The sequence below is a fragment of the Homo sapiens genome, chromosome 11, assembly GCF_000001405.40.
Source record: "Homo sapiens chromosome 11, GRCh38.p14 Primary Assembly".
NCBI lineage: Eukaryota > Metazoa > Chordata > Mammalia > Primates > Hominidae > Homo > Homo sapiens.
In genome coordinates, this window is record NC_000011.10 from 70656122 (window position 1) to 70668200 (window position 12079).

The 12079-nt window shown below is 54.6% G+C and overlaps 1 protein-coding gene across 32 annotated transcripts in view, besides 2 other annotated features; it reads right to left on the reverse strand.

Moving 5' to 3' along the window:
• SHANK2 (SH3 and multiple ankyrin repeat domains 2) overlaps positions 1-12079 on the reverse strand; it is a 785381-nt gene that overhangs the window by 188268 nt on the left and 585034 nt on the right. For 24 of the 32 annotated variants that reach the window (NM_001441030.1, NM_001441032.1, NM_001441037.1 and 21 more), the window contains 2 exons: positions 5475-5557; positions 3707-3831 (listed from right to left, as the gene is read on the reverse strand). In NM_001441030.1, coding sequence (NP_001427959.1) covers positions 3707-3831; positions 5475-5557 — 208 coding nt within the window. Of the gene's footprint in view, positions 1-3706; positions 3832-5474; positions 5721-12079 lie in introns of those variants that run through there. The other 8 variants (NR_110766.2, NM_001441047.1, NM_001441046.1 and 5 more) reach the window with 1 other exon arrangement.
• Positions 6308-6982: an enhancer, noted in NCBI's record as "H3K4me1 hESC enhancer chr11:70508534-70509208 (GRCh37/hg19 assembly coordinates)". NCBI's record gives its function as "activates a minimal SCP1, AML or CMV promoter by ChIP-STARR-seq in naive H9 embryonic stem cells {active_cell/tissue: H9 hESC(naive)}" and the evidence as "EXISTENCE:reporter gene assay evidence [ECO:0000049][PMID:30033119]".
• Positions 6983-7657: an enhancer, noted in NCBI's record as "H3K4me1 hESC enhancer chr11:70509209-70509883 (GRCh37/hg19 assembly coordinates)". NCBI's record gives its function as "activates a minimal SCP1, AML or CMV promoter by ChIP-STARR-seq in naive H9 embryonic stem cells {active_cell/tissue: H9 hESC(naive)}" and the evidence as "EXISTENCE:reporter gene assay evidence [ECO:0000049][PMID:30033119]".

Genomic DNA, 12079 nt, shown 5'->3' on the forward strand with positions numbered 1-12079 from the left:
AACCTGTGATCTCTCCAGCCCCATGTTGTGGGAGTGAAGGGGCCTAATAAGGGCCATCTCAAAGAGACAGCAGACAAAGTCTTCAGCAAACTCTTATGGCAGGCTCACTCTCCTTTGAAACTCTCTGGTCTCAGCTTCCTGACAAGCTCTAATCATTATGAAAACCAGTTTGGACTGGGTTTCCTGTTGTCACCAGAGGGACATGGGCCTCTGTCACTCCTGGCTGGTGGAGGCCCCATCCTCACCTCTGACCTGCATAGAAAGAAACACCTGCCCTGCTTCTCTCGGGGGCTGTCACTGCTCCAAGCCTCGGCTTCAGCCTCCCTCAGCAGGTCCCACGGGCATTCTCCGCAGGGGCATTCAACTTCCCGCCGCCCTGCCCCTCCCACGGCCTCTGAAATCTCTTTGGCTCCTTCTCCCCTGGGCTGGCTGACATTTCACAATCTGGGACGGCTTAGTGTCACTGTCTATCCTGGGAATTCCGGCACACTAGCTGATCTGAAATGGCAAATCGCACCATCCATGGGGCCACTGTGATCAAATGTCCCTACCCGTGGGACATTCACTTATCTTTCACGTCCACCTCTGAGGTGAACCTTTTATTACCACACAGCTTGAGTGATAACATCTATCTGTCTCATGAGACTCCCGATCTGGAGATAGCTCAAAGCCTTTGATTGTGGTTGGTAGGGTCAGGGGGTGGTCAACCAAGGAACAAAAACAACAGCAAAAGAACAAACTCTTCCCAAAAGCTTAGGTAGGAGAGAAATAAATTCTACAAGCTAAGTACCCAAGAAAGTCATGCACAGCAGGAAATCATGACAGGCACCAAGGCCGAGAGCCGGATGGCCACGTCGGGGCATTCTCACAAAGTTAACGAGGGAAAATGAAGTTCTAGAGATACCAAAGACATTAAAAGCCAACATTCACTTCAAAGGGTGCCCATTGGTCCAAAAGTTCAAACCGCAGCATGCATTTTTAAAGAGAAAATAAAAATCTGTCACACTTTCGAGGTTCTTTCAAAATAGCAGAGAGAAAGGAAGGCTTGCCAAGGGCTGCTTGGGGTAAGGAAGACAGAATGCCTGCATTTTGGGCAGCTTTTCACGTGGAGACCTTGCACCTCACCGGGAGCTCAGAAACCCCACTGACTCCAGGACTGGCTGCTCACCAAAAAGAAAATTCACGTGAGACATGTGAGGCTATTTCACACCATCCCTCCAAGGTCAAAGCTCTTCACTAAAAATAGAGAAACATGGTCTGTTGGAACAAACACGCACCTATTATGCTATACAAGATTTTAATATTCCGGTGGCAAAATCCAGTCGCTAGGAACACAACTCAATGGAATTCTCAGTCTTAAGCCCCTAGAGGAGAATTTCTGAGTCCCAGAGGCAGCTGTGGACATGAACTGGGAGGAGCCAGGATCGTGCAAGGGTCCAGCTGCCTGCACCCCGCACCCTCATTAGTGTATGACTGGTGTGGAGCAGCCTCGTAGGGCTGTGGAGGGCCCAGTGCTCCTTGGGTTATCTGTGATAATCATAATGCAGGCGCAGCCCTAATGCATCTCAGGACCAGCCATTCCTAGAATACTGGAAGTCAGAGGTTACCCAGAATATAAAACCTGCCCCAAAATGGCAAATCTATTTGCATACCAGAGGTTAAAAGCAATGTCAGAGGAGGTGCTTAGAAACAGAAGTGTGGAAACTCTCAAAGCTCCAAATTTCCACAAAGGCTTCAAACCGACAGGACAGGTCCACCTTCTCAGCCCCACCCAGGTGAGCGCTGCAGCCACAGACAGCTACATCTTCTAACCCACTGAGGCTCCGCTCACTGGGCAAGTGCAGGGCCCACACACGTGCCTCAGCAGGCCACGTTTCTCTTATTGATGAGGTTATCCAGGAAACAGTCCAATGAGCTGAACAACGGGGGTTGTTCTTGCATCTGCAGCCCTCTTTTATTATTGAAAATCAAGAACCAAGAGTGACCTATTTCAACACCCCCCCCACCCTGCCTGTCACACGTGCACACACTCTTACACCACCTATAGACTTCAGCCCTGCTGCTAGGCCCAAGGCCACGCCCCCCCAACACACACACACACACACACACACACACACACACACAGACACACACACACACACAGACACACACACACACACAGACACACACACACACACACACACACAGACACACACACACGAAGGGGACTCACATCCCAACTGCATCCTACAGAGGATGATTCAACCCAGGCCCTCTGCATTTCCATGAAGGTTACAAATCGAGTTAGCCCACAAAGCCACAGCGGGCTCCAATCTCTGTCATTCTGGTGGTGCACCCGACAGTTTCAACACACAAGAACCCAAATAAGCTCATTTCTCATTCAAACCAGGTTCTGATTGGTCAATAATAATTTAAATGCATCTTCCAGCAAATCAAAGAGATCAACATGAGGCACTCAGAATAAGTTTAAGCACCTGCTCCATCTTACCTGGCTCTCCAATAGTCTCTTCCCTTCTGACTTTCCATTGCCCCGTAATAGTCCTGAGGATCTCTAAGGAGATCACTAGCAGAATCATAGCATGAACAAGAAGCTTGGGAGCTTAGGCCTGATTGGGAGAAATGATCACGGGTAGCCCTCTCACCACGGGTGGAGATGTGGGCTCCTCATTTACAGAATGAATGTCTGTCTGTCCAGCCCAATGGCAGGGACCACCAAATGGCTGGCTGGATGCCACGTACCCACCCCTTCCACCTGCATGTGGAGTTCTGATGTACACGAGGCTGGGCTCAGGGTGACATGGAAGAGCGCGTGCATCCAAGAAATGCGCACTCCCAACGAGGACCATTCGAGTCTACTGAACCTTTAAAATATCATCTTTTTCAACCTGTAACATTCTTTTCTTCTTCCTACTTCCAAAGAGTCACATGTTCCTTTGCATAACAAGATTAAAACTGAACACCTAAACTCACAAAAAGGCGAGGTGATCAGATGTACTGGGGCCTCCGAACCCCTCGCACACACCAACGTGCCAACCGTAGGGACTGTTTGCAGAGCCGGAGCACTCAAACCTCTATTCTCTAAAGGAAGAGAATGCTCTTTCCTTTTCAGTACCAGCAAAAGTTCATTTTCAAAGCATCTGAATTCCTAAGTTTCCTTTTTGCACCATCGACACCAGCCATCCCTCTTGCCCGGGCTCCTTGGTCTTGGAAGGCCATCGTCCATCTGATGGGGTGGTTACCACAACCTGCAAATCTACAAGCTCTTAGCCATCAATGTTACAGACCTCACGCCAGCAACTGCCACACAAGAGTGGTTGCCGACTCACCCATAGGACACAAGAAGGGACGATGACTCCTCTTGGTGCCTATTTAGTCACAACTAAACCACCCACAGGTCTGCACATGTCCCCAACATCATGGTGACCACATGCCTCCTCTTTCTACCTTCTACTTCAAGACCAATGACCAAATTCCACAGACTTTTCCTCCTTCCAACGGGTTACGGCCAAGGCCTCCAAGACAAGCCCAACACCAGGTCCACAGGCAGTGGCACCCACGGTGGGAGAAACTGACCAATGAAAGTTCATGGCAGCCTCCACAAGCACCCCCAGACTGGGCCTCGTGGCTGTGCTGCCAGGACTACGACCCTCTCCCCGAGAGTCGGCGCTCTCCCCAAGCAGAAAGATACAGACACCTGTGTCCCTACCTCAATCAAGAAGTCCCCGGTCCTTAGTCCGGCTTGCCACGCCACCCCACCTTCATCCACGGACTCCAGGTACTGTAGGGCTGGGAAAGCCGGTGTTGGTGTGAATTCTTCAATGGGTGTGTCAGCTGGGAAGACAAGCAGCACCTGGTTACAAGCCTGGGAGATGTCTTCCAAGTTCACATTGCCTGACCTCCCCACAGGACCCCGGGAGGAAGTGGGCCCACTCATCTCCCATTGCAGGTGGCTAGTCCAGGCCAACTCTCCCCCAGGAAGGGCTTGAGATTCATACTCATGGGCTGATGCAACTCAAGCAATGAAGTCAATTGCACCTTGGGGCCGCCATCATATTTCTTGGCCTCTCTGCTGAAACCACAGGATAATGTGCTCTGTGGTACATGTCTACACGCCTGTCATTTTCTTTAAAAGCATCAGTGACTAAACATTTTCGGTTCTAAAAATGGAAAAGTTCCTCCCCTGCCACACAGAGCTACAGAAACACCACACTAAACCACTTGCCAAATTTACATCTACGTAGACTCGCAACCAAGGGAATTCAACTTGGAACGCGGACGGAACATCACGCTGACCCAGTGGGTGGCTACAGATTTGGAATGTGCTCATGAGTCCTCTCTACAGGGAGTCCAGGCCTCTGTGACCACTCTGTGTGTGACCAGTGTCCCTGGGCACTGGCATGTGTGTGTGTGGGTGCTGAACCACTACTGCCCAGCACAGTGAGGCTTGGCTTCTGGGGCCCCACACAGCTGCCAGGTGCAACTCCAGGGCAGGAGATGGACTTTTCTAGGGAGGCATGAGTGGCCAAGGGTGGGTGGGTGTGGAGATAAAGATTCCAGCAGGGGGAGGGGAGAGCAAATCACACAGACAGGCGTGGATGCTCTCACAGAGACAGATGCATCTGCTCTTTCTCTCTCTGGACAGCTCGCTATGGAGCTGCCTGAGTCTGAGGCAGGTGGGCATGCCAGCTGGGGAGGAGGCCTCCTGCAGCACAGGTGCGGGACCCCTGGCACAGCGCGTAAGCTCCAAGATGAAACTTCCACATGGCTGAGCCACACACACAGTGGGCGGATGTCCCCTCTCATGGGGAGGTGATGCCATTTTGTTTTCTTTTGGAGGGGAAGCTGCGCGTGCAGGGTGACTGGCAGGTGCACCGCCATGGACTGCATTCCTGAGCCTCCCACGACGGGCCACGTAACGTGTGTGCTGCCGGCTCAGTCCACGGCAGAGGGGACCATCTTGTCACATTTCCTTTGCAAAGTCACCTTAGAGGTGAGCACACAAATGCCTGCCGCCCTTGGAGCCAAAGCCCACTCCCAGAATGGGGCAGTTTCTAGGTGCCTGAAACTCAGGCCAGGGCAATCCTGGGGATTTGAGACCCAGAGCTCTGAGGGTAGCCACAGTCTGGCTCAACTAGAACACAAAATACTGACCACCCCATCATTTAAAAACAAAAGGTAGGAGGGGCAGGAGGGAGAGAGAACCCATTCAGAACAACATCATCTACAGAAAATTAAAAACATTCCTCAAGGAAGCCCTAACGTTTTCTGAGTAAGGCACAATGTGAAGGAACATGGTTGTCTAGCAACTGAGTGCCCCCAGGAAAAATGCTTATTTAATGCTTATTCCTGAGCTGGGGAACGTTTTTCATGCAGGCGTATACACACACACACACACACACACACACACACACACACACACACACACACACACACAAACATGGGAACATATTCAGGCTCAGAGCGGCTGCTCTTACCTTTGGCCCCTCGAAGCACGAATCCAAAGCCCTCATTGTCTTTTTTCTGCAGGACCACCGTCTTCTCCTCAATAATGCAGTCACTGTAGAGAGAATTCCGGGGACAGCGACCATTATTGTAGCCCGTCATCATCACCGCGGCCGCTCCTCCGCCGGGGACGTTCATCATCATAGCCAATTAATCACCCCAGCTCGCCAGATCCAGGCAGCATGGAGGAAAGGAGGCAGCGAGGGTGCAGGAGGAGCGAAGGAAGAGGGGGGTGGCTACCGGGATAGGCGAGCGTGGCACAATGAGACTTGCAGGGTGGGGGCAGGCAGAGCCGGAGCCAGCCGGAGGAAGGAGTCATACATGGTGGGGCGGCTGCCTGAGGGATGGCTGAGCTGGAGGCTCAAGGGGGGCTGGCCAGGACGCCGCCCAGGGCAAAGAAAGTAAGTGGCCCGAACGGCGGCGGCGGCAGCGGCGGCCTCAGCAGCGGCGGCGTCGGGAATGAGCTCCTCCGGCTTGTCCCGACCACACGCATCTTCCAGGGAAGCCCGGGAAAATCAGCCAGAGGAGAAATGAGGCAGCAGTTTTGTTTTGCTTTTCCTTGAAGGGGGTTTAAAATAAAATCAAATCCTATCTGCTCCCCGCACGAGCCGGCAGCAGGCACCAGAGACGCAGGGACCTGCGCGTCGCATCCAGCGCCCCCTCCCTCTCCCGTCCCGGCGCCGGCGGTGTGCGGCAGGCAGGAGCCCCCACAATCATCTGACGAGCCCACAGTGCGCCCGGCGGCTGCCTGGGCGTCATCCCGCGCGAGCATCCGCAGGCTGGGCTGGGAGAGGGCGGGGAGGGGGAGCGGCTGGGGCTCTCTCTGCATCCCCCCCTCCAGCGTCCCCCCGGTCCCTTGCAGCCTTGGAAGGTGGCCGGTGGCCGGTCGGGGAGGGGTGGGGGCTCCCTGGCAGAGGACTCAGGACATTTCGGTGTTAAAGCCCCTGAGGACACCAGCCCCCTCTGGGGATGATGAATTCATTGCTGGGGAACTGGAGGGGGTATGTGGCTGCCCCTTTGAGATGACAAAGCTAAAGCCACAACTGCTTGCCTCTAGCCATGGCATTTTTTTTTTTTAAGGAAAGAAACCAAAAAAGCTCCAACTTTGCTCTAGTGGCCACAGTGTCCTCTCGCTTTTCCTGCTGGCACTCGCCACATGACATCCAGCCCCCGAGGCACCCAGAGTGTGTGGGACGGTGCCCTGCTCAGTGAGCCTCCAGGCTGCGGCTGAACTGTCCTCCACCCCCACCTTCTGGGTGGCCTGCGGGGGCAGAAGGGGAGTGAGATGAAGGCTACCGGCACCCCCCCGCCCCGTAGGACTCTGCTGCTGCCCGGAAGTTAGTGGGGAGCTGGGAAGGCCTCTGTGGAGGGGAGCGGGGAAGGGAGGGAGGCAGCGTGGAGGGAGGCCTCTACAGGGTCTTGCGGGGCTGTGTGTGAGCCTCGGGGGTGAGGAGAAAGGACACCAGGCCAGCGGCCCAGCCGGAAAAAGCTGCAGATGGGTCATGAGGAACCCACCAGGCCCCCGTCGCACAGGGGCAGTCCCAGGGATGCAAATTTCAAACAAGGCCATGTGCTGACGGACTCTTGGTCCCAGAGGAGTGCGGGTCAGCTCTGCCTGGCACCAGCACCAGGTTCACGGTCTACAGGAAGCACAGGGCCCCAGGTGCAGCCAGCTGGTGACAGCACAGCCACCCCGGATTGGGGGGCCCTGGGGAGGAGGAGGGACGGGGCAAACGTGGATGACAGGGCTCAGTATCCTGGACAAGGGACGAGCAGCGGCCCCTCGATCCTCCCATTTTACAGATGAGGCTGGTGAGGCTCAGAGAGATCGGAGGACCCAGCTAGGGAACGCGTGCTCTTCTCACCACTCCACGCACCCACCCCCGACAGCATCAGAGGGTCGTGCATGGAGGCATGCTGGGGTGACCCTGTCTTCCAGGAATAGCCCAGCATGAATGATAGCTTCACAGCCGAAGACCAGGACAATCCAGGTGACTGGTCACTCCCGTTGTCAGCAGCTGGGAGGGGGGTTCTGGCCCCTGACCTTCCTTACCTTGCCCCCTCCCCAGAGACAGCCTGCTAAGTGCAGGGAGGTCCACTCTGGGGAACTCGGTCACAACTGTGAGCCCCTCTTGGCTCATCCCTGGAAGCCCACTTACCCTGCTCAGGGCCACCAAACAAGGGCTGACACAGGGTCAGAGGTCCAGGACCCTGGGAGCCTGGGGGTGAGGTCACATGGTTATTGTGACCTTTAGAAAATGATGGGGCTCTCTAAACCTCAGTTTCCCTGCACAGCAAGAGTGGGTAAGAACAAACCTACAGGCCTCTTGGGATCACCATGGGGTCAGATGAGGCCATGCCATGCTGGTGTGGTGTAATAGGATGCCTCAGGCCGCTGTCCCTGTGACGGCTGCCATTAACCTCCAGCAGGCCTGGTAGGTGGCCAGGACTCTGCAGCCCTAAGGAGGCTGAGCAGGGAGAGCTGGGGCTCTACTGCCATGGATTTAGGGGTCCATGAGGCATTGATGAGCAGACCCTCTACCAGGTCCCTCGACCTGTCTCCACGGCCCCCCACAACGAGAACACAGACTTGTGTCCCTCATGGGAAATGCCTTCTAGTCACCACCCATTTTCCCTCTGAACTCCTGAAAGGGGAGTCAGCCCACCCCGGCCCCATGGCTCACTCACGGCTGGGGAGGCGCAAGCTGTGTGACCAGCCTGTGTGTCTCCTGTGTCTCCTTCATGGAAGGTTCTCTAAAGGCCAAGGCTGCCAAAGCCAAGAGCCTCTGCTCAACCCTGCTGTGCACCTGCTGTCTGCAAGAGGAGCTGCTGAGGGTGACCGCCTCCCTGAAACCCTGGAAGGATGATGCCGAACCCTGGGGTCTGGAGCTCAGGGCCCTGCACTCTCCCTGGGGACACATGGGCTGATCAAGTCCATCTCCACCCAGCTCCAAGGGGAACCTGTCATGCGCTCCAGGCGTGCTCACTTGCACTGCTGGGCAGCTCCTCCTGCAGTGCCCAACGCCATCCAAACCTTGCATCTCCAAGATGACCCAGACCACTTCCTGCCAGCATACCCTGCGACGGGAACTTCTTAGGGCCAGGGGGGCTGCCCAGACACTTGCTAGCTGTCTCCCATAGACTAGAGAAGGGCAGGGGCATTCCAGTGTGGCTGGTGGAGGCACAGGCTTTGGCATCACACGGAGCGTGGTTCAAATCCCAGCTTTGCTTTGACCCCAAGGTCACTGACCTATCAGGCCCCAGAGCCTGCTCTGCAAAATGAGAACAACAAGATGCACCTGATGGGTCCTGAGCTGGAGGCCGTGGAGTCGTGCATCCATGCCTCAGAACCAGCCCAGGCAAGCAGCACATGTTCATAACTCCAACAGTTACAAGTGGGATCCCTGTCTGCACACGCCACCCTCTCTTCCCCGGACCCCCTTCCTCCTACAGGGACCCCTCTGATCTCGACATCCAGGGCTAAAACCTTTTCAGTGATTCCTAATGCACCCAAGAACTTAGTTTTTTAAAATTAGAGACGGGGTTTTGCTCTGCCACTCAGGCTGGAGTGCAGTGGTGCCATCACAGCTCACTGTAAGTTTGAACCCCAGGCAGTACGTGATCCTCCTACCTCAGCCTCCCAAGTAGCTGGGACTACAGGCACACACCACCATGCCCAGCTAATTTTTAATTTTTTTGTAGAGACAGGGTCTCACTGTGTTGCCCATGATGGTCTTAAACTCCTGGCCTCAAGGGATGCTCCCTTCTCAGCCTCCAAGGTGCTGGGATTATAGACGTGAGCCACCACACCCTGCTCCATCTGAGAATTTTCTAGCCCACACTTGTAACTGTGCAAAGATCTTGCCCCAAGACTGTAATGGCCCTGTCCTGTTTATTCAGTAAAACACCAAACTGCTTAGTCTCTGACATTAAGAAGGACTGTTTCTAACTTCTCTTTCCGGCATTGTTTCAGGATCTAAACAGCCCCCACTCCCCACCCACCATGAACCCATCTCACTTTCACTGGCAGACAGACATGGGTTTGAATTTCAACCCAGACATTGACCACCTTGACTACTTACAGCCTCAATTTCCTGACCTGCAAAGTTGGGGAGAAACCTCTGGCTTGTAAGTTTTAGGAGGAGCAAGTGAGGCGATGCCCAGTGAATGCTCCATGAGCAGGAGGCTCCTTGTAACCAGGGGAAGCTGCTCTTCTTAGCATCCCCGTCCACCTTCTTGAGCTGGGTGACCCTGGAGAAAATGTCCCCTCTGAGCTTGTCTCTTGTGGGGGAGGGGACATTTTCTACAAGGTCAATGGGGGCAGTGACCTCATCCTGCAGACCACCCCAAATGCCCACAGCACCCCGCATAGGCCAGGTGCCCCATGTGTGCCCAGAGGGGATGCAAAATGGGTATGAACTCAAGTCAGGAGCAGAGCAGGGAGAAACGGATGTTGGGTGGGAGGTGGGCGAAGGATGACTACAGGGTTTCGAGTAAAAAGGCACCAGAACAATCCCTGGATTCCTAGTTAAACCCAGAAGGTAGACTCAGTGCTGCAGAGGACCTACGGCATGCACCTGGCTTGGCCCAGGAAGTCAGAGAGGAAACAGAAAAGGCAGCCCCAGGCCCTTAGAAACTTTCAATGTTTTGGGGAATTCATGAAAAGCAATGGGACACTCTAGAAGAGACATTCCTTGAAAGGAGCTGCAGTCACTGTGTCTGAAAGGCGGAACTTGGCAGCACCCCCCATCCCCATGCAATCAGACAGGGGGGTCTCACACGCAGGCCTTAGGAAGGGGCCTTTCTGGAGACAAGAAACCCTCAGAGGCTCCTTCTGCTGGTTCATGAATCTAAAACCTATCCCAGGATGACAGCTGCGGCTGGGTCCGGAAGTTGTGGCATTGAGTTCTGTGTGCTGCCCTAGAACTGTGCTGAAGTCCCTGTGAACCAGAGTCTGCCCTGACCTTGGCCCCTGCCAGCCTGCCCTGCCCCTGCACCAGCAGACCCACTCTCCACATGCAGATGAGATGCACTGCAATCCAGTTTCATGGGGAAATGACCGAGGCGCCTACACGTTCCCCACGCTGTGTTGGGACAGCCTTCTCCAAGCCCGTCTCACCCCCTAACCTGCTCACTGATCACGTGCCTGAAGTAGGCACTGTGGGCTCCTTGTAAGCAAATGCCATGCCCTGATCCTCTGAGTATCTCCATGCAACACAACATTGACCCGTGCTTATTGATTGAACAAAAAATGTAATCCAGCGGCGCACTCCCCAAATGTTTTCTGAGCTAGGTGGAAGGGCACTTTGACATGCCCCAAATGTACCCTCTTTTGCCAACATCTGCTTGCAGCAGGAGCTGTGGAAGGTGAAGGGGGTGGGCAACCAGCCCCACCAAGTACAGCTGTGCAGGTTGTGCACTGTACAACTATGGAGGAAACCATTGCCATCATGGCCATCACGGCACAGGTACTAATGGTAATTTCGTCACAGAGGGAAGAAAAACGTCTTAAGGAAGGGGCAAGCACCTTTTCCTAGTTCAAACAAAGATGGGGTCTAGGCTGCCCTGGCCATGCTGCCATGGAGAATGCAAGAGGTATCCCTATGGGAGCCATATTGGCTTCCCGGAGACACAACTACCTCCATGTTGATGCCCTCCTGGGAGCCACTTGGAGGAGAGAGCATCAAAGGTTTGCCTGTTTCTGCTCACCCACGGTCCCACTGTATGCTGCAAGAGAGCTTATGGGATACACTTGGAGCACTTAGCACCTTGAAGCAAGACAGGAGGGTTGTGGAGACCCAGGGATGGCCACGCAGCAGGCCCCAGAGGTCTCTCCCCGCTGGCAGGCCTAAAGATGCTCCTGGTGTCTGCCTCGCAAGACCACAGGTGGCCACACACCCTGTGGCTTTTAGCAGTGGCCCGGGTTCCCTTTCTCCCACTGGGCGCCATGACAGACTCACAGGGAAGGCTGCACTTTCCCTGGTCCAGCGGGCAGCAGGTGCCAGTGATGACAGTTGGCGTTTAGGATCTGTCAGTCACTTTAACAAGCTCCCTTGGCAGCAGCACCTGATCCTCGAGGTGATGTCCATTTGGAGGCACAGGAAGCCAGGCCTGAGCTGGCCCAGACGTATGGGCCTGAGGGGCTCTGGGTGGCTCTGTGTGCCTCCCCACACATGGGGTGGATAGATGTGGACATTTTAACTCTGAACACCAGTGTTATTGGGGTAGACCAGATGGCTTTACTCATAGCTCTCAGGATCCCAGCTGGGTTGGTGGCCCCGTCTGGTGACAGCTTTAGTTCTTCCGTGACCAGCTGGGACTGGGTTTCAAAGTTCAGAAGTAACTGGGGCCAGTGTCAAGCCGCCGTGTAAATCAATAAATCAATCCAGCTGTTACATCCTGAATACCCACTGAGAGTCAGGGGATGAACTGGGTGCTGGGCATTTAGGAAGGAACAAACCAGGCCCAGTCTGGTCCTTATAGAGTTGTCTGGTGTGGTCAGTTGAATGGTGACTCAACCCACCCAAAAAAATGTGTCCAATTCCTAACCCCCAGCGTCTGTGAAAGTGACGACACT